Source organism: Homo sapiens, chromosome 5 (genome assembly GCF_000001405.40).
Source record: "Homo sapiens chromosome 5, GRCh38.p14 Primary Assembly".
Taxonomy (NCBI): Eukaryota; Metazoa; Chordata; class Mammalia; order Primates; family Hominidae; genus Homo; species Homo sapiens.
This window is the reverse complement of record NC_000005.10, coordinates 146,800,387-146,826,698: the sequence shown is the minus strand read 5'-3', so window position 1 is coordinate 146,826,698 and position 26,312 is coordinate 146,800,387. Positions and strand designations below refer to the sequence as shown.

Genomic DNA, 26,312 nt, shown 5'->3' with positions numbered 1-26,312 from the left:
TTTTTAAATGGTGTAATTATTAAAGTTGCTGAGTTTTGAAAACGCCACCAGAATGCATTTTAATTGAATTTCTTTATGCTGCACAAAAAGTAAGTTCTAGTTGGTTCATGGATACTGACTTGGTAAATTGGTAGGTGGTAAGTTAGTGTTCTTGTGATTCCAGCAGCTTGTGCAACCTCTGGTTTGTTACATCATGGAAACTGAAGATTATCTTGGGTTAGATTCACAAAGCAAATTTTCCCTTATCCCCCTCCTCCTAAAAAAGCTTATTTTCAGGGTGGTCTCTAAAATGCTAGACTTAGGCTCTCTAAGGTTCTACTTCAGAATAAGGGATCCAAGAAGTTTTGGCCAGCTCCTAATTTAACCTATACCTAGAAGACTCATTTAGATTTAGAAGGCTGTAGGCATGATGGTTGAGAATTTGAATTCAGAATAATCCGATGTCAAGTTTTGTCTCTGCCACCCTTTATTATGTTGGGCAGGATATTTAATTATTCCTAGATCATTTAAAGAGAATGTGTTCAGATTAAATCATGACTGGGGCATTTTTAAAAAAGAAATGCCAAGTACCGAGGAAGTGGCAATGATGATGAGCCTAGAGATGACTGAGACTTTGGGTATTAATCTTTGAATTATTTACCGGATATAAATTTTACAGCTTCTACACTTCTCTACTTTCTTTCAAGTGAAATTCTTCTTATATCTATAACTCATAAGATTCCCCTGGCATGAGATGGATCCTTCATTCCCATAGGCCTGTTCTGAATTGGAGGAGACAACAAAAACTTCAATTATTAATGCTATTAATGCTCTGTCAAGAATATCTTACTACATGTGATACCAACAACAAAAAAAGTGGCATGATAAATGCTTGCTTTCATAGCATGTCATAGCACACTGTCATAGCATGTCACAGTTTGCAAAATACTTTAAAATATAGCACTGCATACTTTAAACTACAGCACTTCCAAAAAGTTAGTGGCTTTCAATCACCTCTTTTTACAGTTAAAGAAACTGAGGCAGAAAAAGTAACTTGACTCAACCAGGTTATCAGCTAATAGGTGGAGGAGCCTAAATTTGAATTCAGTTATTTCAATCCATCCATAAGTATTTCTTTAACCCTTACACTTATAGTCTGTTTGGAAAGAAAAAACACTTATGATACAAATAGAAATGCAAGCAAGTGCAATGATAGAAATGCAAGCAAGTGCAAATTCATGTACCTCAATGTGGTTGTTAATATCTGAAGGGTAAAAGAGTAAAAAGAGATACTTTATTGAGGTAGCCTAAACAAATCAAAGCTTGTTAGGAAAGCAGAATACTAGGAGATACTATGTGTTTTCTTTTTCCAAATAAACATGGAAGTGTGGGCCACTGCACTGTGAGATAACACATCATTTCTGAATGTGTGTCTCCTGCTGAACCAAAGAGGAGAAACAGCTGCTTTCCCAGCACCATGGACAGCTCAGCAACCCTCTGAAGGGTTGTTCCATACACAGCATGAACAAAGTCGTGTCTATGTGATAACGTCGGCTCTGTGAAACCCAGGGGAACTGACCTGACCTTGTAATGTGAGGAACGTAAATTTAAAATATCAGCGGAGTTGCATTAAATGCTTTTTCAGGAGGTTTCATTAATGTCAATAAGTATGAAACATTTAAAATTATTGATTTTTGGCTGGGTGCGGTGGCTCACGCCTGTAATCCCAGAACTTTGGGGAGGCTAAGGCGGGTGGATCACTTGAGGCCAGGAGTTCAAGACAAGCCTGGCCAACATGGTGAAGCCCTGTCTCTACTAAAAACACACACAAAAAATTAGCCAGGTGTGGTGGTGGGCACCTGTAATCCCAGCTACTCAGGAGGCTGAGGTGGAAGAATCATTTGAACCCAGGAGGCAGAGGTTACAGTGAGCCGAGATTGCACCACTGCACTTCAGCCCCATCTCAAAAAAAAAAAAAAAAGTATTGATTCTTGCATTTTTCTCAATTTAGGACTAAGAGAGGCTTAATTAATTATTATGAAGAGTTTTCATACAGTTTTCTTTCTATCTCTGTTAAAGCCCGTTTCAAAAATTACCACTCTACCACAGTGTGTGTCATGAGTCTACTTTTTCTAGTGCATACTCCCTTCCTCTTACCCAATGCTTTCCCCCAAAACTCAACTATTCTATGTATGGCCAACCCTCTTCTGTGATGATAAGAACCAAATGAAAAGCAATAGATGCTAATTCTATAGCTATTGAAGGTACCCTAGGGAGCCAAAGAGCTAACTCACAAATTGGAAATCATATAACATGGCTGCTCTACCAGCAGTATCTGCCCTTATTGGCCTGAAAACTAGAGATGGTCATGAGGAACACAAATTGAGGCAAACTCACTACCAATGTGAACATCTTCCCTGTGATTCTTTCCATGTCATGAATCTCCATCTGATTTTTAAGGCTGGGTTGGGAGGATGAGACTGACTCTATGTTCTAGGCTTTTGGAATAGAAATAGCCTCATGTTCAATAAGCTTTCTGCTCTTCAGTAAATTATGTTGCCATCAGATTTGACATAATTACATATATACATTTCAAATCCTACTTTGTGTAGCTTCCTGTGACATCTGATAGAGGGGAATTTGTGGCTTAGCTGCTTATAAGTGAAGAAGATGACAGTGGAAACCTGTTGGGAGAGCACTTGGTGTTTGTACCTGCATTCACTTTGCATGCACATCTACTACCAGGGATCCAGGAGGGAAATGGAGTGCTACCCCTAAGCTTTCAGATGGTACTTGCTGACTTGTAAGCAAGGACCATTACAGCATAAGTTTGGTTGAGCCAACTTTTCTTTTTCAAATTAACTTGAAATGAGGCAAACAGGGACTTCTGTTTGGCTATGTTTTGCAAAAATCACTGTTAACACACAGGTGGGCTACTAAGGGCTGTTATTTTTTCAAGTTATTAAAAGGAAAATTCAGAAAGTTAGGGAGAAGAATTATTTTATACTTCTGCTTGAGAAGAACAACATATGTTTGTCATGGATGATTGAATCCATTTCCAAGATTTTAAACTTTAAAGTGGACGTGGCACTATGACATTAGGAATGAGGTTACCAGATAATTTTTAAGTTAATTCTCGAAATTAAACTACTTGGAAAATCTGTTCTTCCCATCTCAGTGCACGTTCTGCTCGTTATGTGGTGTGCCGTCTAAGTAAACTCTGGGCCAGGTGCAGTGGCTCACGCCTGTAATCCCAGCAATTTGAGAGGCCGAGGAGGGCAGATCACGAGGTCAGGAGATCAAGACCATCCTGGCTAACATGGTGAAACCCCGTCTCTATCAAAAATAAAAAAAATTAGGCGGGCCTTGTGGTGGGCGCCTGTAGTCCCAGCTACTCAGGAGGCTGAGGCAGGAGAATGGAGTGAACCTGGGAGGTGGAGGTTGCAGTGAGTCGAGATCATGCCACTGCACTCCAGCCTGGGCGACAGAGCAAGACTCCATCTCAAAAAAAAGAAGAAGAAGAAGAAGTAAACTCTGGCCACAGAGCAAGTCCACCATAGGTAGTGATATGCAGGCTGTCAGATGAAATCTCCAGATTGAAACCAGAACAGGGGGCTGAGCTCCAAACTGGAGAAGAAGCATGTGTAACCTTTTGGTTCACATGGAGGGAGTGTCTCCAAACAGTCCCTTTTGCCAAAAGACTCAGCTTTCCTTAAATATAAAGAAAAACAAAAGTCTTTTTTTCTCAAGGATGTAAGAATGATGTTTGCAATTTGCTCACTTCTTCCTACAAGTTCTAAATTTGGGGACTGCATTGCTTTTAGTTTTAAGGAGGTTATATAAATCTAGATGACAAAGGCACGGAAAGACTTATCTTGGTGCTTTAGTGGTGATAAAAGAAGCTTATTTCTTCATTTAGCAAATGTTTACTGAATATCTACTATGTATCAATCACTGTTTCATGTGTTGGTCATAAAGAAGTGAGCAAGATCAAGATTTCTCTCTTTTCTAATAATAATCTGTGGGAGGAAGAACCCACAAAGCAAATGAGAATTTTATATGTTGATAAATGGTATGGAGAGATTAGGACAAGTTAAGGATATAGAGAGTGGGTGGTAAACAAATATATTAGATGGAGAAGTATTCTTGACAGGACAACCTAAAAAGCAAAAAAAAAAAAAAAACCAAAAATGAAGAAAATTTAGGGAATGAGGACTTCCTGGAGAGAAAATAGTAAATGCAAAGGCCCTGGAGCAGTAATGAATGTGGAGAGTATGAGAAACAGAAGACCAGTGCAACCTGAGTATGATGACTGAAACAGACAACAGTGGTATGAGAGTTAGGCAGGATCCAGACCATATGGAGGCTTGGAGGCCATGAAAAGATGGGTGATTTTATTTGGAGAGCAAGGAGAAGTCACTGGAGGGCTTAGAAGCAAGAAAATGATGTAATCTGAGTTATGCTTTCCAGAAGATCGCTCTTTCAAATGTTCATCCTCATTTGCAAGGCTCTGCTCTAAATTGAGGAGCCAGTCCTTCTTCTGGCATCTTACCAATTTGTTATTTTACGAACTTTCTTTTCTTGTAAAATAAGCATATTTAGGAAAACTACACAGCATAGTACAAAGGATTGGACAGCTATATCATTTTTAGATGGACTCATTTTTGAAATGTGAGACAATGTTTTACACGGAAATAACACTCAAAGGCTGAGTTCTAGTCTTACTTGGGCCACGGATTCACTGTGTGTTCTGAACACAGTTACTTACGTTGTCAGTGTGTATTTTGCCATTGGTAAAATGTGAATATGAATATTAGTAGTTCCTTTGCTTACTTTGCATAAATGGGAATTTACAATGTGGCATCATACTTGAATATGCTTTTTATGACACTGAACCAGCTGAAAGTTAAATCCATTCATGTAATTAAGCTTTTTTTTTTTTGGCAGAGTACTAGGCACATGAGGTCTAAATAGTTTTAATAATAGTTGCCATTTTATTGAGTCTTAACTGAGTGTTAGTTAGAATTTTTTCACTTATTTCTAATTTCAACTCTATTATCTTTTTTTGAAGTGAGAAAAAAGGGGGCTTAGGGAATTTACTTTCCCAAGCTAGTAAGAGATGACTGAGGTTTCACCCCAACTCTGTTTGCCCCCAAAGCCTGTGCTGTTAAGTTCTGCTGCTTTTTAGGACTCCAGGGCTAAGCCTAGAGGCAGGGCTAGCAAACCTTAGTACATTGTGATATACATCCACAAAGTGCTGTGACAACCAGAGAAGGGAGAGCCATGCTTAGCTGTTTCATGGGAGGGTGGGCTCATGCTTTGAGCTTGATCTACAAGGATAAATCAGAGCTTCAAGGGGGCATTAATGGGTGGTATGACAGTGAAGAAAGGAGGTCTCAGAAGATAAAAATAGCCTTAAGAGACATCTAGAAATGGGAGAGAAGAGTATGGTATTAAGGGATGGCAGGTGGGTTGATGTATTTGAGGATTTGTGCAATTGTACATGTGTGTAAGCACATGCATGTGCACGTGTTGTCTGTGGATATATATATAGGTGTTGGAGATTGTGTATTGTGTGTGTTTCTCTGTGGATATTTTTTAGTATGTGAGAAGGTTGTGTTGTGTGTGATGTGTGGTGAGTGACCTGGTGAGAAGCCAGGGTGTGGCTGAATGTACCACTGTCAAGGAGGCGGAATGATGGAAGGAGGGAGGCCTATTAGAAGGCGATGCACTAATCTTGGTGAGAGATGGTATGGCCCAGGACTAGCGCAGTGCAGAGGGCATGGCGTGGAAAAGGAGATTTATGAGAGGGATATTTTGAGATAGAATTAGTAGGGCTTCTATCTAGGTCAATGGTGCAGCTGAGAAGTGCTCAGAATGAATCCTGTGTCTCTAGGTTGGCAATTTGACGGATGGAGTCCTAGGAACTTAAATGAAGAAAGTAGCAGCAGAGGAAGATTTGGAGAGGGGAGGAGACGGAGGTCAATTTAGGACTCAGTGAGTTTGAGCAGCCTGACGTTCCACATGGAGATATCAGTGTTGCAAGTGGATTTGGAAATATGGTCTAGAGCTCAGTAGAGGTATAGCCTAGAGGAATAGTAATGGGAAGAAAATATCCCCAAACAGCATGGCGTTTTTTATATATAATATTGCAGTAGTGTGCTTTTGTGATCACATTGCTCTTTTATATTGCATTTTAAAATTCCACTGAACACAGGAGGTTTTCTGAAGGAGTGTTTTCTGCCCCTGGGAAACTATTGGCCAATTCTCAATTATCCACAAATGAGAATCCATGCCAATTGCTTTTATTCTTTAACTGGCTGCTCCATTTTACCTAGCATGGTTTTTGTTTTGTTTTGTGTGTTTAAAATTTTTTAATGTTTAATTGACACAAAATTATTGTACCTATATGGGTACAATGTGATGTTTTGATACATGTATACAATGTATAATAATCAAATGAGGGTAATTAACATATCACCTCAGACATGTATCATTTCTTTGTGGTGAGAACACTCAAAATTCCTGCTTCTAGATGTTTTGAAATTACAATATCTTATTGTTAACTATAGTCACCCTTCTGTGCAACAGAACACCAGAACTTATTCCTCCCATCTAACTGGCTTTGTACCCATTGACCAACCTCTCCCAATCCCCTATTTCTGGTAACCACAATTCTACTCTCTACTTCTCTGAGATCAACATTTTTAGATTCCACATATGAGTGAGATTGTGTGCCTATTTGTCTTTCTGTACCTGGCTTTGACTTATCATAATGTTTTCTGGGCTCATCCATGTTGCTGCAAATGACACAATTTCATTTTTTATGGCTGAATAGTACTCCATTGTATTATACATTCAATTCTTATCTTGGCTATTGTGAATGGAGTTGCAGTAAACATGGGAGTGCAGATATCTCTTTGACATACTGATTTCTTTTCCTTGGGATATATACCAAGTAGTGGGATTGCTGGACCATGTGGTAGTTCTATTTTTAATTTTTGACAAATCTGCCTAGCATGTTTTTAAGGGTATCTCTGTAATTTCTTTAAAAAAAGCAAATTCATTTTAATATACATTCATACAAAAAAACATAGAAAGCTAAATCTTATGGAGGAAACGATAACTATTCCAAAGCTAGATGGAGCTAGTTTTTAAATAGTACATTTTCTGGAATTACCTTTTTCACTTCCTTATTCTTTTGTTAGGAAGGTCAGGAGTTGACACTTTGCCATCTCCACATTCAAAGAGAGGTGCCATGTTGTATTCCATTTCAGCTCTTCTGTTCTGTGGTTGTGTCTCTCTCTGCATACTCCCATCCCACCCCAGTGTTCTATTTACTCCAGATGATTTCTTGAGAATGTGCTCATCCTTAGGTTTTGTAGTATTTTGCAGAGAATCTTTTCATGACAAAAGGAGAACTCTCCATGTAGCCCACTGAGAAACTGTTAGTGAAGAAAAAACATCTTTATCTCACAACACAGAAGATGCAGGAGAGCAGCAGCCTGGTGGTGAAAGTGATGAATCAGCTCAGATTTACAGATTCTTGGCCCCAAAATAGTTCATTTTCAAAATATATTATTCAGAGCAAGGCCTGAGCAAGAGAAAGAATTAGAGCTGATTTTCAGCTGGAGATTTTGTGCCCGAGAAGAAAGCCTGCACTGATTTGTAGGCATAACTGACCTTGGTAGGAATGTTTGATTTTCAAATGCAGAGAAGGCCATCTGTTGGTTCTTGAGGGTAGGGGAAAGAGGCATAATGATCATCTTTACAGCATGCTGTACTTTATCCTTGGTCAGAAACTTTTGCAGGCCTTGTGCCAATTCTTCAGACACTATCTTTACATCGGGGAGTCAAAACTTGGAGGTTAAAGTAATGGCTCAAGGTTACCCAAGGAATTCATGGAAGAAGATAGACTAAAACTCACATCTCCTCATGTCCAGGCCAGCATCCTTTCTATTAACCTGTTAATGTCAAATCCCTACCATTACTTCCTCTATCATCTTAGCCAAGCTACTTAGTCTCTCTGGGTCTCAGATTTCTCATCTGTAAAGTAGAAAAAATGAAACTATATCATGGGTCACTGAGAAAATTACATAACTTAAGATGCAAGGGGATAGAACCCGCACATGGTAAGGTGCTCAAAATATGTGAGTTCCCTCGGAACAATGGGGTGAATGTTGGTGATGTTTCTTCAATATGTTTTCAAGAAGAGCTCAGTGGCTTATAAATCTTGGGGCAGGGATGGGGACATCTTATCATATGGAATAAGAGTGAGGAGAAAATGCCCATCAACCACCAAGTTAGAGGGAGCAGAGATTGTGTTGAAGGGATTATAAAAATCCTCGTGATTTTTTTTTTTTTGCAGTGAATTTTTTTTAGCATAGATGAATGTCTTTGCAATTTATTTCATTAATTATTCAACAAATATCGTTTGGCTGTCTTATGTGCCAGACACAGTACTAAGTGCTATGGCCACAGCAGCTATCAAGACAGCTTTCCATGCCCTCGTAGAGTTTAAAATTTGGCGGGAAAGACGTACTTTGATCAAATAGTCACAAAAGGAGTATATAAACTCCTAGCAGGATGGCTCCTCTGTAATGGAGTCATCATAGGCTGTGCTGAGATAACCTGACCCAGTCTTACAAGATCAGGGAAGGCTGCCCTGAAGAAGTGATCTTAAAGTTAAGGTTTGGGCATAGGGCAGCCCTGCCAGGCAGACAAAACAGCATAGGCAAGGCCATGAGGTGGAAAGGGATCCATGACTTTGGAGAAAAGGAATTGGTGCAGAGCAGTGTGAGCAAATGGGAGGATGGTGTTTTATGGGAGCCAGAGTCATGAACTGATTTGATAATTTTAAATTGGCATCAGAATAAATTGTTATGAAATGGGTGGCAGAAATATTTGACCGTTGGTCAAAGAAATGAAACTGAGCCTAGATGAGAGATGTAAAGTGGCGCATACCACTAAGTTGTGAATAGTGATTGCCTTGGGAAAATGAGCTTGGAAATGGGGGAGACTTTTATTTTACGAGTTTCCATAAATTTTTGAAAAATATTTTACAACAAGCCTATGTTACTTTAGTCATTAAAAACCCTAGTTAGAGACTTTTATGCAACAAATTGGAGCCTTTTCAAATCCTGTTCCAGGATCTACATTAAAAGGGAAAAGGCTCACAATAAAAAAAAATTGTGTGAGATGACGGAAATATCAATTTGCCTGATTTACCATTTCACAATGCACACATATATTAAAAGATCACACTGTACACTATAAATATATGCAAATTTATTTGCATATAAATACATTTATCATCAAAGTTTTAAAAATGGTGGTGGTGGGATGGAGGTAGCATCTCTGTCCTAAGTGGTGAGCATCTAGGCCAGGTGTCCAAGTCAGTGGGGAAGAGAAAAATGTCTTAGGCTTTCTGGTTGATGACATTGGGAATGTTTACCTTGGGAAAGAGGAGATTTGCATAAGTACCTTAAATGTCATTCTGATTGAGTTTTAGGATGAGTCACAGCTGGAAGGAGGAGGCAGAAAAGAAAGATCTTGACACTCTAGATGATGGGCCAAATGTAGCAACATGAATTGTGTGGGGATCAATGCCAGTATCTTTCCTGAGGTTTTACAAAGCCACCTGCCTGCATACAGGGAGGGGAGTAGCCCTCAAGAGCAACGCTCATCACAACAAGCCTCCAGGGTCTTGGTTAACTCCAAGAGGAAGTCAAAAAGTCATGCAGCTGCCAAGAAAAGGTATATGTTGTTTGACAGCATTGATAGAAATCTGTCTAGTTTAATTCTTAACCACTGGTATTCATCAAAATCACCTGACAGTCTTTTTAAAAATATGCTCAGGCCCCACCCAAACTGACTGTATTCAAATCTTGGGGAGAAGGGATAAGGAATTAGAACATGGATTTTGGAATCAGCTCCTCCATATGGGTCTCTGACTTTAAAAACTGACAAAAGACTCTTCAATGTTAAAGGAGCTACAATCTTAAATTTTTAATTTCTGAAATCATGTTTAATAAAAAACCTGTGTTTTTATTTGATTATTGAAGTAATTTTTGGACAATGCAGTCTTCATGCTAAGTTTTCTACTTACTCAAATCAGTTTTAAATAAAATTGAAATCATGTTGAATGCATCATTTTGTAATGTGATTTCATTTAATATTCTGATATGGATATTTTTCTATGCTCTTTAGCATAATGTTTAATAGGCGCATAAACTCTATTATAGAAGATGACCAAAATTTACTAAATTTCTATTGTCATATATTTGGATCTTTTCCAAAATGTTTCAGTATTGTTGTTTTTGGAGATAGTCTCACTCTGTTGTTCAGAGTGGAGTGCAGTAGTGCAATCATGGCTCACTGCCGCCTCAGCCTCCTGGGCTCAAGTCATCCTCCTAGCCTCCCTAGTAGCTAAAATTACAGGCTTGTGCTGCCATGCCCAGCCAATTTTTTAATTTTTTTGTAGAGATGGAGTCTCGCTTTGTTGCCCAGGCTGGTCTCAAACTCCTGGGCTCAAGCGAGCCTCCTGCCTCAGCATCCAAAAGTGCTAGGATTACAGGCATGAGCCCACTATTATTAATAATACTGTAAGTGTGTGCCACTACACTTTGGAGGGGAATATTGATATAGTGGAGTGGTCAAGATAGTGGAGGTTTCATAATCTTGATATTAGGAACGGCTGAAAGAACTTTAATCTGGAGCAGACTTAGGTTGGAGGAGTGGTGAATATCTTCAAATATTTGCAGGGAAATCAAACAGAAAAGAAGTCAATTTGTTTTGCCACCCTCAAAGGGCACGACTAGGAGCAATTGGGAAAAATTTCAACAAAGCAGCTTTCAGCTCAAAGTAATAGATTTTTAAATAATGAACAGTTTTGATGATCTTGCTTTCCCTATCCTTAGGGATGTTCTGAGCATGAGTTAGCATTTGTAAAGAATATAATTGAGACTATTCAGATTCCTAAAGTGTGTGTGTGTGGAAAAGTGGGGATAGGTTAAAATGGAGTCACAAACCAGGAGCCCGCAGGCTGCAACCCAACAGTAAAAGGGTCTGTCCAGCTAATCAACCCTTCTAAACAATTTGAATTCAAATGCCTTTAGGCAGAACATTCACTCCTCAATTAGCCACAAGCCACGCCCTTCCTCTTAAGTATTTCACTTGCGTGCACTCCTGAAGGCATTTAGTTTACCACCCCTAGTAGGTACTCTAAATCCTTTGATTCTGTGAATATCATTTATTCATTCAGATGCTTAGTGAGCACCTACTGTGTGTCAAGTATTGTGCAACCTGCTAAGATAAAAATTAACCTGACAGATGGCCTCTCTGCTCTCAATAAGCATACAATGAAAGTGTGTGCAGGAGTGTTGAATGAATATACATTGGAAGAGGAAATCCGGGTTTTGTAATTAACTCCAGAAGGTCTTAAGACCAGTGATGATGTTAACAGCAGAGAGTGCTTTGGCTTGTTAAGAGGAGGAACTTTCATAATCCAGTTCACAAGGAAGAGAATGGACCTTGCTGGAAGCATTGGATTTCCCCCAGCAGACTAGTGTAGGCAGTGCCAGCATGCACATCCTTCAGGGATGATATGAAGGAGATTCCAGCTCTGCAGAAGTAGGATAGATGGCTTCCATGTCTCCTTCTACTGTAAGTGTTAGCAGCGGAACGTATCTGAGTCACGTGGCACCAAAGTATGTTACCAGAGGCAAATCTGTACAGGTCTACAGCAACCTCAATTCTTGCCTCCTCAGAAGAAAGAATTCAACTGAGGGGCATAAGACAGAAGGAGAGACCAAGGCAGGGGTGAAAGGAAGGAAAGTGCACTTGGAAGAGGGCCAAGCAGACAACTTGAGAGATCAAGTGCGCAGTTTGACTTTTGACTTGGGGTTTTTCCATGTTGTCATACCTCTGGGGTCTTATGTTCTTTCCTGATTCTTCCCTTGGGGTGGGCTGTCTGCATGAGCAGTGGCCTGCCAGCACTTGGGGGGGACCACATGTGCAATGTGTTTACTAAAGTTGTATACATGCTCACTTGAGGTGCTTTTCCCCTTACCAATCCAGTGTTCCAGAGGGAGGTAATCTGCCATTTTGCCTTAGTGCGCATGCTTGAGCCCATTCACCCAACTCCTGAGATCTTATCAGGAAGCTGCTGATCACCAGTTTCAGATGTTTCTGTCTGTTGGGAGACTTTCCCATCTATTGGGTGCCTTTCCCTGGCACTGGCCATGACCAATTATTATTTTAGAGAGACAGTTAACACTGCCTGACCATCACCTGATGGTCTCCTGACATTCCTGGTGTGTGTTGCAGGGGAGGCCTCTCCTACTCTGCTCATTTCTGAATAGCTACCTACTGTAACATAAGGACCTGTCATCTTTGGATTTCATGTAGAAGAGCTACAAGGGAAGAAAGCAGCGTTTGAAGAAGATGGCAAATTAGAAAACTAACATTGTCTCCCCAAAAAAGAGAAAAAAAAAGACCATAGGATATGGAGGGTTTTTTTTTTTTTTTAGCTGTTTTCTCTACCTTCAGTATTTATTTGGGGAGGGAGTGTTTTACCCCCATTCTGATGCTCATAATCTATTATAAAGCATTTACTGAGTGCATACTTTGTATGCACAGTTTTCAGTCCCTGTTCTATGTGTCCGAAGTCATGGCTTTAACTGCCACAATCCACTGCCTTACTGATATTCTTCAAGTGAGAGGGTTTAGCAATTTTACTTCCCTTTTCTCCTGCCTTCTCCTGAGTGTGGTGTTGTCTCTTCTCTGTTCTTGCCACTTCCTGTCCTGGTCTAAACTGTTGCCATCTTGCCAGGACTCCTCCTGCTTGCTCTCTCCGTTTCTGTCCCATTTATTCCTGGATTCTCCTCCTCTTGCTGCCTGTCAACCCTTTCTTTCTTTCACCAGTTTTCCTTCCTGCTGCTTAAGCAAGTCTCCTCATCTTTTGATTATTCGGCTATTTGGGAGGCAAACTCGTTCAGACAGCAGGTGTTCTAATAACTGAAATAGCAGCGGAGCAGAGCAGTGGAAAATAGAAGGTTTCGACTTTGAATTAAGAGATGGAGCTCTTAAAAAGGAGGTGTTTTATTGATGCTAAGAAACTTTAAAAATTATCTTGCCATGTGGCCTGCTTCAGCTCACTGAGGACCCGGACAGCTGCCAGTGCCTACTTGGATTTGTCTCCATGGAACCGAGCGACACACTGATTCATACCTCTAAGCGTTGCTTCCACTTGACTTCTACAAAGAAGGGTCTGTTGGTTTTGGAGGGGCATACTATTTGGTACAAAGTTTATAGGTAACTGTGCTTGAAGAAGCTGCTCCTGAGGTTGGGCATGAGGTAATATTTATTCTTAGTGACATTTTCAAAAATATGCATCCAAATAATGTAACTCCAAAATTGTTGGTGTAGAAGTTGAATTGGTATGTGAGGTATGTGTGTTTGTGTGTAAAGAGAGGGGTTTTTTTTAATGATTATTAAAAGGCTAAGATTTATTAGGTGCTTCCTATGCACTAGGCACTGCTTCATACTCTACATATAGCATATATACATATATATACACACACACACTATATATATAGCTTCATTCATAGTATATGTATATGTAGATATATATATGTCCTGGCTGGATGATTCACCAGATGTGTGACTTTGGGCAAATTACTTGCTCTATCTGAGTTTCCCCATCTGGTATGGTTTGGCTGTGTCCCCACCCAAATCTCATCTTGAATTGTAGCTCCCATAATTCCCTCCTGTTGTGAGAGGGACCCAGCGGGATATAACTGAATCATGGGGGTGGTTTTCCCCATACTGTTCTCATGGTAGTGAGTAAGTCTCACACAATCTGATGGTTTTATAATGGAAATGTGTGTGTATATATATATATATATATATATATATATATATATACACACATATACACACACACACACATTAAGTAACTCTAGTGATAGCAGTATATATATATATATATATATAAAGTAACTCTAGTGATAGCAGTGTATATATATATATATATATATATATATATATATACTCTTCTGAGGACTAAGTAACTCTAGTGATAGCAGTATATATATATATATATAAAGTAACTCTAGTGATAGCAGTGTATATATATATATATATATATATATATATATACTCTTCTGAGGACTAAGTAACTCTAGTGATAGCAGTATATATATATATACTGTATATATATACAGTATATATATATATACTGCTATCACTAGAGTTACTTAGTCCTCAGAAGAGGCCTGGGAAAGTAGTAGTGCTATTATCCTCATTAGTTCAGTTCAGAGAAGACAACTTGCCCAAACATAAACAAACAGATAAGTACTACAACGAAGCCTCCTTAGATCTACTAGGCTCCAGAATCTTCATGCTGAAGAGAAACTTTGTTATTTTGAGGCAAATGAGATACCATCCATGTGTATAGTTCTTATACCTTTGCAAGCTGTTTCACATATATTTGGATTTTATTCTCACCCCATGAGGTCAGAGTGCCAGGTTTCACTTTCCTCTGTTTTGAGCTAAGAGGGAAACTAAGGTTCAGAGAGGTAATGGAAACTTCCACACGTCACAGAACTAGTTAGTGACAAAAGTCCAAAGTTAACTCAGAGCTCTTGGGCCCAGTTCCCTGTAGCATGCCAATAAGACCACTAATCCAGGCTCCTGATCTCTTAGATTAAACTGGGCAAGTCTGTATCTCAACTTCCCCAGTGAGTAGGAGTTCATTTAGCAAATATGCATCGAGATGTGATGAATGAACAGTGTGTCAGGCATAGTGCCAGGCTTTAGTGTGATAGTGACAGATAATACATAGTTGATTCTGGCTGGGCACGGTGGCTCACACCTGTAATCCCAGCACTTTGGGTGGCCGAGGCGGGCAGATCACGAGGTCAGGAGATCGAGACCATCCTGGCTAACAAGGTGAAACCCCGTCTCTACTGAAAAAAAAAAAAAAAAAAAATTAGCCGGGCGTGGTGGTGGGCGCCTGTAGTCACAGCTACTTGAGAGGCTGAGGCAGGAGAACTGCTTGAACCCGGGAGGTGGAGGTTGCAGTGAGCCGAGATCGCGCCACTGCACTCCAGCCTGGGCAACAGAGTGAGATTCCTTCTCAAAAAAAAAAAAAAAAAAAAATACATAGTTGATCCTATGTTCACAGAGCTTACAGTCTATTGGGAAAAATCAAATGATTAATAAAGAAATTGCTATAAAGTTTAATGTGCATTAGGATAGCAAATGGCAGGAGAATAGAAACCAAATCTAAGATTCTAAGGAACAAGAAGGAGTAGCCAGATGGAGATGTGGGACAAGGTTTTCCAAAAAAGAAACACTTTCAGCGGAGTGATGAGCCAAGGAAAACACTTACTATAGACTAATAGAGATAGGAGCCATATGGCTGGACGCCGTGGCTCACGCCTGTAATCCCAGCACTTTCAGAGGCCGAGGTGGACAGATCACAAGGTCAAGAGATCAAGACAATCCTGGCCAACATGGTGAAACCCTGTCTCTGCTAAAAATGCAAAAATTAGGCATGGTGGCACATGCCTGTAATCCCAGCTACTCGGGAGGCTGAGGCAGGAGAATTACTTGAACCCGGGAGGCGGAGGTTGCAGTGAGCTGAGATCGCACCATTGCACTCCAGCCTGGGTGGCGACAGGGCAAGACTCCATCTAAAAACCATCATTCTCGGCAAACTATCACAAGGACAAAAAACCAAACACCGCATGTTCTCACTCATAGGTGGGAATTGAACAATGAGAACACTTGGACACAGGAAGGGGAACATCACACACTGGGGCCTGTTGTGGGGTGGGGGGAGGGGGGACGGATAGCATTAGGAGATATACCTAATGTAAATGACTAGTTAATGGGTGCAGCACACCAACATGGCACATGTATACATATGTAACAAACCCACACATTGTGCACATGTACCCTAGAACTTAAAGTATAATAAAAAATATATATATTAAAAAGAAAAAAAAAGACAGGAGCCATAGAGACTGGAAGTCAGTGAATGAGAAAACACAGTCATGAGGCAGTGAAGGTGAAGGAAAGAGCATACATGAACTTTGCTCATAGACAAGCGTTCAAATCCTGGCTGGACGATTCACCAGCTGTGTGACTTTGGGCAAATTACTTGCTCTATCTGAGTTTCCGCATCTGGTATGGTTTGGCTGTGTCCCTACCCAAATCTCATCTTGAATTGTAGCTCCCATAATTGCCTCCTGTTGTGAGATGGACCCAGCGGAATATAACTGAATCATGGGGGTGGTTTTCTCCATACTGTTTTCATGGTAGTGAGTAAGTCTCACGCAATCTGATGGTTTTATAACGGGAAACTCCTTTCACTCGGCTCTCATTGTCTTCTCTTGCCCGCCACCATATGAGACGTGACTTTCACCTTCCACCATGATTGTGAGGCCTCCCCAGCCACATGGAACTGTGAGTCCATTAAGCCTCTTTGTTTTGTAAATTGCCCAGTCTCAGGTATATCTTTATCAGCAGTGTGAAAACGAACTAATACACAATCTGTAAAGGGAGATGTTAGTAACAATACCTGACTTTCACAAGGCTAATTGTCAGGCTTGCAAATTATGAATGCAAAACCAGTTCTGGCACACAGCACCACTACCCACCAGCTTCTCAAGCCTGAAACTTGAGAGTCATCTTTGATTTCTGATTTTCCTTACTCTACCCCCACACAACAGATTGGCTAGCAAGTCCTTTTTTGTACTCCCCCAAGATATCTCACAGATTTCTTCACTTATCTCTATCCCCAGTACTACCATGTGAGTCTAAGCCACTGCCATTTCCCACCTGCACTACAGACAGAGCCCCTACCGGGTCTCCCTGCTTCCACTCTCTGCTCCATGTAACCTCCAATCCATTCTTCACACTTTAGCTAGAGTGATCTTCTAAAAACATGAAGCACTTGTCAGCCTGCTGCCTCAAACCCTCCAATCATTTCCCGTTGTTCTTAGTAGCAAACGCCTTACCAAGACTCACCTCGCAAGATCTGGTCTCTGTGTGCCCACAGCCTCGTGGCCCACTCCTTGCTTACTAAGCTCTGGCTGCAGGCTAGCTGCTTCGTCCTTCCAGTTTTAGCTGATACGTCATTTCCTCAGAGAGGGTCTTCTCTGACCACTCCCTCTAAATAAGGCCTCCTTTCTTCATTGCTACCATAGTGCCTTATTTTTTTCATTCCCAGCCATTATTATAATTAGTCAATATACATTTATTTGGGTGCTTACTAGATTAAATACCTACCTTCCTCATTGGGTTGGCTGCTCTTTGAGACCCAGAACTATTCTAGTAGAGACTTGATGAATTTCTAAATTAGCAGAGAAATTAAAGTTGGGCTTCAATAAATGATAACTATTATTTATTAATACCTGTCAGAGAGACAGTTGTGAAGTGTCTGCTTGTGAGCATTTGCCAAGAATTTCTGTCTCCATTATTTGCCTTAATTTCCAAAGCAGAAAGCCTGACGGCCACATAGAAGGCTTTACCCTGGCGGAGAAAGGGAAGGTCATTCTGTCTCAGCAGGTCTACTAGAGAAAGCTGCCCCCAAAGCCCCTGACATTGGATCCATACAATACATAATTTCTAGGCAAGTCCTTGGTATGTCTTTTTGTTGCTGTTGGAAACTCCAGGACCCAAGGACATTCATCACTGGAGAAGTGGGTGCGCGCGCACACACACACACACACACACACACACACACACACACCAGTGTTAGCAGCTGGCATTTCTGCCTCGAGGATTTTACATTTACAAGGTAATAATAAAAATGGTATTAGAAACCTGCAGACGGTCTGTCCTATAGAGATAAATGTTGATTGCAAACTCCAACATGAAAGTAGAATTGACTAGAAGAGTTACCAGGTAATTTAAGGCCCAACAGTTGATGTCCCTGCAGATACCTTGGCAAGTCAATTCTGTTTTATTTCAGAGAGGAAATAAAACTTGCCTGATTGGACTTTCTTTCCCCTGATAGAAATGAGGAGTTGTCACAGTGAACCATGAGAGCCAAGGCTGGCAAGGCTGGCAACACACGCCAGAGCCCCGGCTTCTAGGATGCTGTCTTTGAACTTGAAGTCAGGGTCAAGTTTTAGGACTCCCAGTTTGTTGGCTATTCAGGATTGGTCAGTTCTTCCTTTCCAGACAGCCTCTTACCTCTTAGTGAATGGGGCTCTGAGGTATCTTTTCTAAATGTGTGCATTTAACAGTAGAGCTTTCAATACTGAGAAGCAGTGAAACACAGAACAAGGCCAGTGATAGAGTGATGATTTTCAGCAATTGGATTCTCTAAAACAACACTATGCAATAGAACTTGCTCTGACGATGGAAATATTCTATATCTGTGCTATTCAACATGGTAGCCGCTAGGCACATGTGACTGTTGAGCCCTTGAAATGTCATCTAGTGCAAATAAGAAACTGAGTTTTTAATTTAAATTTGAATCACTGTATGTGGCTACTGATTAACCCATTGGACGGCACAAACCTAAAATATTGTATGACTGGGTTTGAAATAGCAAGAATGATGTGAGGACACAAAGGTGGAGTGAGAATATTTAAGAGAAGATAGCTGGGTGCGGTGGCTCACGTCTGTAATCCTAGCACTTTGGGAGGCTGAGGCAGGCAGATCACCTGAGATCAGGAGTTCAAGAACAGCCTGGCCAACATGGTGAAACCCTGTCTCTACTAAAAATACAAAAAATTAGCTGGGCGTGGTGGTAGGCACATGTAATCTCACCTACTTGGGAGGCTGAGGCAGGAGAATTGCTTGAACCCACCAGGCGGAGGTTGCAGTGAGCTGAGATCGTGCCATTGCACTCCAGCCTGGGCAACAAGAGCAAAACTGTCTTCTCAAAAAAAAAAAAAAAAAAAAAAAAAAAAAAAAAAAAAAAGAAGGCACCCCAGGAGGTTTAACCAAGGAGTTGGAGAGGGCATATCCCTGGTGGTTAAGCACATACTCTGGTGTGAGTCAGATCTGTATTCAAATCCCAGCTCTGTCACGTTCTGGCTTGGAATTTGGGCAAGTTACATCTCCAAGATCCACATTTCTCATCTGTGAAATGAACATAACAATAGAACCTACTCCCAGGGCTGTTTTAAGTATGAAATGAGGTCTATATGAAAGTACTTAATACTGTGCCTGGCATAAGTTATTATCTTAGCAACTTTGACATTATCTTTTAATATGAAATATGATCATCTTGTATATCTAAACCCACAACTGGATAGCAGTGTTGGTGAGCTTTGTGATCAGAGAGAAAAAGATAGGGAAGAACCAAGACAAACTTTTCCTCTGCCAGAACTGACTGGTCTCATGTGACTGTGCTGAAGTACACCTATAAGCAAAAACATACTGCCATGCCTCCTTAGCCATGAATAGCAAGTTATGCCACTGTCTCATGAAATAGATGTTCTGTGACAGTGCACTACACTGGACCACTTATAGTATAATTATAGAATGAAAAATCTGGAAGAGATCTTGAAGACCAGTGATTCTTAAGCTTTCATGTACAAACAAATCATCTGAGGAGCTTGTTAAAATGCAAGTTCAGATTCAGTTGGTCTGGGTGGAGGCCAAGATTCTGCATTTCTGCCAGGCCCCCAGGTCTCCCAAAGGCTCCTAGTCTAGGATCCATACTTAGGGTAACAAGGTTTCAGAGCACCTAGGTCATAAGACCAATACCCTCTTTTTCAGATAGGGAAATGGAGACCCACAGGGGTAGACCTAAGGTCATGGGACAATGAGAAGTAGAGCCAAGGCTAAAACTAAGGTCCCCTATTGCCTGCTCCCCTGTCGGGGGCACTTTTATACTTCCTCAGGTGGCGGCAGTGTCTTGCATTACATGACACTCAGCAGTTTGCAAAACGACATTCTGTCATGTCCTTTTTCCATTTGTCAGCCAAGGATAAAAAAGGGCAGAGATTACTCCACTCATTCATACTATCCTGGTTGGTGACTGCTAGTTAAGCTGCAGCAAAAATTCCAGTATGCTGACTCTTCTCCCAGAGTACCTTCCATTATATCACAGCACCTCTGTTGCTTCATTTTTAATGTTGGGAAAGCTCCAGGCTGGATATGATGATGGCCAACAACATAAGACTTTATAAGGACTTTGGGGTCAGTCTGCATAGCAGACCATGCAGCAAAAGCATGAAGGAATGGAAAGAGTCAGGTACCTCTTTTTTTTCTTTTTTTTATATTACAAGCAAGATTCTAGAGGCATTTTACAAGCTGAGCAATACCTTAAAGGTTATACACAAGCTATTTCCTGGAGGTATGTTTTAGTCCTAGGCAACCTAAAATTAATGACAGCTCTTATTAGGAAAGGTGGAAATGAAGCATCAAACTATCAGGGAGAAGAATACATTTCCTTGGTAGGCCTGAGATGCACAGTTTCTTAAAACAACTTGGTGGGAGAGATTGAAACTTAGCACAATTCATAGCCCTATCACTGACTCTAGGTGACCTTGCATAAAGGCGTGTTTCTGCTTGTGCACATGTGTGTATGTGCGCATCACACACACTGTCTCCCTAGCTTCTTCATATGTTCAGTGGCACACTCAGTTCATTTTGTCATCCACCAAATTCACAAATGTATTTTCAGGATGAGTAAAATGTTATCTGCAAGCCTCCCAGAAAATTCTGAAAGAGTTGGCCTTTTTCTTGATGTTACTTCTTTATTGGCTTTATTCGCCAAGGTAGGGATTTGACACTTTTCTAGGTCTTTTCCATCATGTGATTTGGATTCTAGGAAATAAATAAGAACTAGGAAGTCAGACTCATCGAGCTGCCGATAATTAAGGGAATTTGGGGCCTCTGCTTGTCAGGTGTAGATCACAGGTGAAGCAACATATTTAGAGCTCCCAGTTGGCAAACACAGCCTTCCCCTTAAGCCACATCCCCTCTGCATAGTCTCAACTTGTTGGGATGCCTGGTTAGCCAGTAAGGTATCATTTACGTAAAATACCACTTTTAAACCACTCCATTTTTTTCCTAGGGTGCAATTTGTACTACAGGCTCATCTGCTTTACCATATTCCATTGCTATCAATGAATTTCTTCATAAGAACAGTGCAAACACAGACTCATTGAATAAAGAGGGCTTTGGTGAGAGCAAAAATTAAAGCATGTTAGACAATGTCACTCCATCTTCTGCTCAAATATCTTGGATAAATGAGGAATGATCTATCTGCTTTCCATTTTCAAAACCATTGATTTTTGTTGCAATTAGACAACAAAGAGCTAGACCAGGCAGGATCCTTTCTCTACTTTTGAAAACAGCATTCAAGGATCCCAGCTGTTTTATTGACTTTCTCTAATGCCAAGAGTTGGGGGGAGGGGTGAATGTTCCTTGAGTCAGCATGCCATCATTGCTGGGTAAAGAGAAGGATGCTTCTGCGGTCTAGGGAAAGGTTTGCAGATGACTTCATGCACAAATGGCTCAGGGTCCCCAAATGGTTTCTGTGTCCTCAACTTTCTATGTAATAAGAGCCATGGATATTTCTGAGCACAGTTTGACCTGCATTCTATTGATCTAAGCATTTGGCTAATCACTCTCTGCAATTAAATCCTTCTCCTTGCAATAAAGTTAATCTCTTCCCAGCACATAAAATCTGACCTCACAGCTTGAGGAGGAGAATTGCCGTTGTTTATGGTGCCATCTTGGGACCCAACAGCTTTTTTCTGAAGGCTGAAGCAACTCTTGGAGTTTGAGAAATTATATTCCCCTCAAATTAAATTATTAGAATGCTTTTCTTCATTTCTGGATGTGAACCCCACATAGGCTGCCTTGTTTCTGCCCAGCCTCATTTCTTCTCCAGGACTCATCATGGAGTGTGAAGCATTAAACATATGCTTCTCCTCAGGCGACCTGCTCCTCTTTGATTTCAAGGCCATTGGCACATATTTTGCAATTATTCTGTTTACCAGTTTTTGTTCCAGTTTGAAGAGATTCATGTCTAATATATAATAATATCAGAAAATCCACAGTCTCCATCCTCACTTCAGTTTAAGCTTTCTAAGGGACTCCTCATTGCTTCTAAACAGATTCTGATTTTGTCTTTCTAAACAACATCAGAAGAGTCAGTAATCCATCCGGCGAATATTTATTGAGTGACAAGTCACAACCCTGGCTCTCAAGGTGTTTATGTTGTTATTGAAAATATAGTCAATTTAAAAGGCAATGGATCAGAGCAGGGTTAGAGGGGATGGAGGGGAGAGGGCAGGCAACAGAACTACAAACTTTGTACACAGATGGCCTTGGGTTCCAGTCCCGGGTCTGCCAGATGCTAGTAGTGACACCTGGAGCAAGTCACTGGTCTTCTCTAAGCATCGGATTCCTCTCATCTTTAAAAACAGAGATGAAAGTACCTACTTCATTGGGTTATTGTGAGGATTAAATAATGTATCTTAAAATGCCTATAACAATGCCTAGTGCATAGGAAGTAGTGCTCAATAAATGTTAGCAATAATTATAATTATATAATATAATTTTTTTTTTTTGAGACAGAGTCTCCCTCTGTCACCCAGGCTGGAGTGCAGTGGCATGATCTCTGCTCGCTGCAACCTCCACCTCCCGGGTTCAAGCGATTCTTCTCCCTCAGCCTCCCAAGTAGCTGGGACTACAGGCACTGGCCACCACGCCCGTCTAATTTTTTTTATTTCTAGTAGAGACGGGGTTTCACCGTATTAGCCAGGATGGTCTTTATCTCCTGACCTTGTGATCTGCCTGCCTCGGCCTCCCAAAGTGCTGGGATTACAGGCATGAGCCACCGTGCCCAACCAGCTTAACTATATAATTATTACCTGATTTCCTCACAACAACTACATGAAGCAAGCACTGTTATTTCTCCCTACTTTGCAGATAGAAAAACCAAGGTCTAGAGATGCAAAATAATTTGCCAAAAACCACATAGTTTATAAATGGCAGGCTTTAACCCAGGGATGCCTAACTTGGTCTTGTATTCCTTACCATTACCCCAGGGTGACTGGGCTAAGCTTTCCTTATATTTTTAGGAGCTGCACATGTCATAGGGCTTTGAAAAATTTAACTTGCTAGGCCTGCTAATGATGACTTAAATAAAGCTGCATGACTTAGCTAGAATATAATATTTTCAAATATTCATTCTATTGTGTTTTTTTCTCCTGATACCCAGTATTTCTTTTAACATAAATAAATTTTATTAAATGCCGAATTAAAACTGGTTAGATTCTCATAACAGTTCTCAGTTCTGAATTTAAACTTAATGTTATGTTAAAATATTAATGACCTTTATCTTTAAAAGTGTCTAAATTGTACTAAAGTTAACAAATGTGGCTGATAATCCCCAGCACTCTCTTAGAACATTCCCTGACATGAGGCATTTGCTGGGGCTTACATAGTTCTAATGTCGGGTTTCAGGCAGCACTGAGAAATACAAAATGTGGGGAAATTTTGCATTACAAATTGCCTGGGGATTTGATCTCCTAATACTTAAAAAGTGTTCTAATTTCAGCTAAATAATAGTAGCTGTAAAGCATTTAGGTGTGGATGGCATTAGGCATGCGCTCTATGGAATAAACATGTTTTGGAGAGAGAAGTAGCATTTGGAGCATATGAAGGGAACAATTCATAAGCTGAATTTCACTCCTCTTGTCCCTGTGTATCCTGCTTTCTCTGACATGAACATTCTTTATGGCTCTGGTTCCAGCTCCTTGAACATTTTATTAATGTTGATAGTGAGGACAGGAGTAAAATTTATCCGAAGCTTAGTTCTAATAGCCAGGTTGGACTCCTTCCAATTCCCCAGAAGTCCTGTGGGTTCAAAATACTTGCATAACTAACTAGTGCTGGCTTCTGAGCCTTGGGGCACAAGTTAAAGGCTTGATCTCCTTTTTTGTAAACATGTCCTTTATGGAAAGACCTCACTATATACTTATCCCATCCCCACCATGATATGGAGTGTCCAAGCTGAGGAAAAACTGTTTACCAACCTGCTGACAAAACCCTACTTGTAGGAAATCCCATGTCTTATCTGGCTAAATAACTTAGACCATATGTTCAGGTCCCAGAGCCTGGGATTCTTCAGAACAAGCTGAAATGTGCCTATTTGCATCACCTGGGGATACTGAAATTCCAAGCACAAGTTCATTTTCACATAACTCATTATGCTCCCTTGGATTTGGTGCTTAATGTGAACTTTGACAACAGATGGAATGAGATGATGCTTCAGGAGCACTTACTAATTCTTTTGTGCTCACAAATACACACAAATAGTGATAATATGCACTCAAATTTCCAAAGCCAGGCAGTGCCCTCAGGTATTCATTTGCCACCCCCCTGTTGAGTTCTTGGGTAGAATTTAATTATCCAACAAATTTGGAGATAGCTATGCCAGATGTTAGGTACTGACCTAGACATTTCCAATGGAAGTATCCAATGCATTCTAGAGAGAGCAGGGAAAGCAAATTTGGGAAATAAGACTCTGGATGCGAGAAAAGGGGGCGTGAAACTGGGACTAGAGCATGAAATTTGTGGTGACTTCCTCAGTCAGATTGTTACTCCTTAAGCTCCAAGAACCATTGGGTGTTTGTGTGGGTCATTCAGGAAGGTCTGAGAATATCACCTCTGCCTCAGTTAGTCATAAAGAATCTCATCATTTGGACCCAGCCGAGGACACAGCTTTTGTCTGTTCACAATAAAAACAGAATTACCCCATTGATTTGAATGACAGACACATGCAGCTGCTCCTCCCTTTCATTCCAGCATGGTTAAGTGGGGCCACTTGGAGCACTAACTCATCTTCGAATTTGGGCTTAGCTCTGGAGAAGTTGTTATTGCAATTATAATTTGTTATTAATAAAATGTATTAACGGGATTATGATAATAGCCAGCATTTATTAAGTGGGGATTCTGCACCAGGCACTGTGCTAAGCATTTGTACATCCCTTTCACTCTCATAGCACCCTTATTAAGTAGGTAATTGTAATATTTCCATTTTATGGGTGAGTGAATAAAGCTCAGTCTTTTAACATAAGTGCCTAAGGTCCTACAGCCAATAAGAGGCAGAGGCAGGCGGCCTGACCCCACAGCCTGTATCTTCCCATCACCCTCAGCATGAACTGTATTTACTGATGGTGATTTCCCCATCCAAGGGCATCTTCTGTGCTCCAGTCTCCACTTAAAAGGTTATAAAGGGGCCCTATTCTTTTTCTAGTTTTATTGTATATTTGACAGTTAAAATTGTGTATATTTAAGGTATACAACTTGATTTGATGTATGTGTCATAAAATATTAGCCACAGTCAAATTAACATATATATCACCTCACATAGTTGCCTCTTTTTCTGTGTATATATGGCAAGAACACTTAATATCTGCCCTTTTAGCAAATTTCAAGTCTACAATACAATAATGTTAACTATAGTCACATTGCTGTACATCAGATCTTCAGAAATTATTCATTTTGTATAACTGAAGCTTTGTACCCCTTAACCAACATGTTCTCCTTCCCCACCCCCTCAGGCCCTGGTAACTGCTATCCTACTCTGTTTTTATGTTTAGCTATTTTAGATTCCACATATAAGTGAGATCATGCAATATTTGTCATTCTGCATCTGACTTATTTCACTTTGCATAATGTCCTCCAGGTTCATCCATGTTGTTGTAAATGCCAGGATTTCCTTCCTTTTAAAGGCTGAATGATATCCCAGTGTATACACACATATATATACATGTGTGTATATGTGTGTGTGTGTGTGTGTGTGTGTGTGTATGTACACATACCCCACATTTTCTTCATCCATTCATCTGTTGACAGACATTTAGGTTGCTTCCATATCTGGCTATTGGGAATGGTGTTGCAATGAGCATGAGAATGTGGATCTCTCTTGGAGATCCTGATTTCACTTCCTTGGAGAGCCCCCCTATTTTGAACCCCTAGTCATTCCTACCCCATCCAAGCACAGCTGATTAGACCGAAGGGCAGGAGTACAGAAAGGTAACCAATCGATAGATGGGCTTATGACTTTTTATGTGACCTAGTCCACCCCCCCACCCCCCAAAAAAAATTAGCTGAGTCTATCAGATTTCTTCTCTTGGGAGTTGAGACCAGAAAAAAATACCATCAGGGTATTTAGCTCTGAGAACTTAAGGTGAAATGAGACTATGAGAGCAAGTCTGAGCTGTGAAGTAATGAGGCAGCAGTGGCTATGAGGAAGCAGAGAAAATTAATTTGGTAGAGACAGCATTAGAGAGTGCCCTCCAAGAAGAAGGGTCTTGAGGAGGAAAAGAAATAGCCAGCAG

At 40.6% G+C, this 26,312-nt stretch overlaps 1 protein-coding gene across 10 annotated transcripts in view, besides 2 other annotated features; it reads left to right on the top strand.

Moving 5' to 3' along the window:
* Positions 1-26,312, top strand: part of PPP2R2B (protein phosphatase 2 regulatory subunit Bbeta) — a 500,779-nt gene that overhangs the window by 254,822 nt on the left and 219,645 nt on the right. The window lies entirely within an intron of this gene.
* Positions 1,376-1,576: a silencer, noted in NCBI's record as "peak5525 fragment used in MPRA reporter construct". NCBI's record gives its function as "represses an SCP1 promoter by STARR-seq MPRAs in K562 erythroleukemia cells {active_cell/tissue: K562}" and the evidence as "EXISTENCE:reporter gene assay evidence [ECO:0000049][PMID:32103011]".
* Positions 9,253-9,779: an enhancer, noted in NCBI's record as "OCT4-NANOG hESC enhancer chr5:146196483-146197009 (GRCh37/hg19 assembly coordinates)". NCBI's record gives its function as "activates a minimal SCP1, AML or CMV promoter by ChIP-STARR-seq in naive and primed H9 embryonic stem cells {active_cell/tissue: H9 hESC(naive and primed)}" and the evidence as "EXISTENCE:reporter gene assay evidence [ECO:0000049][PMID:30033119]".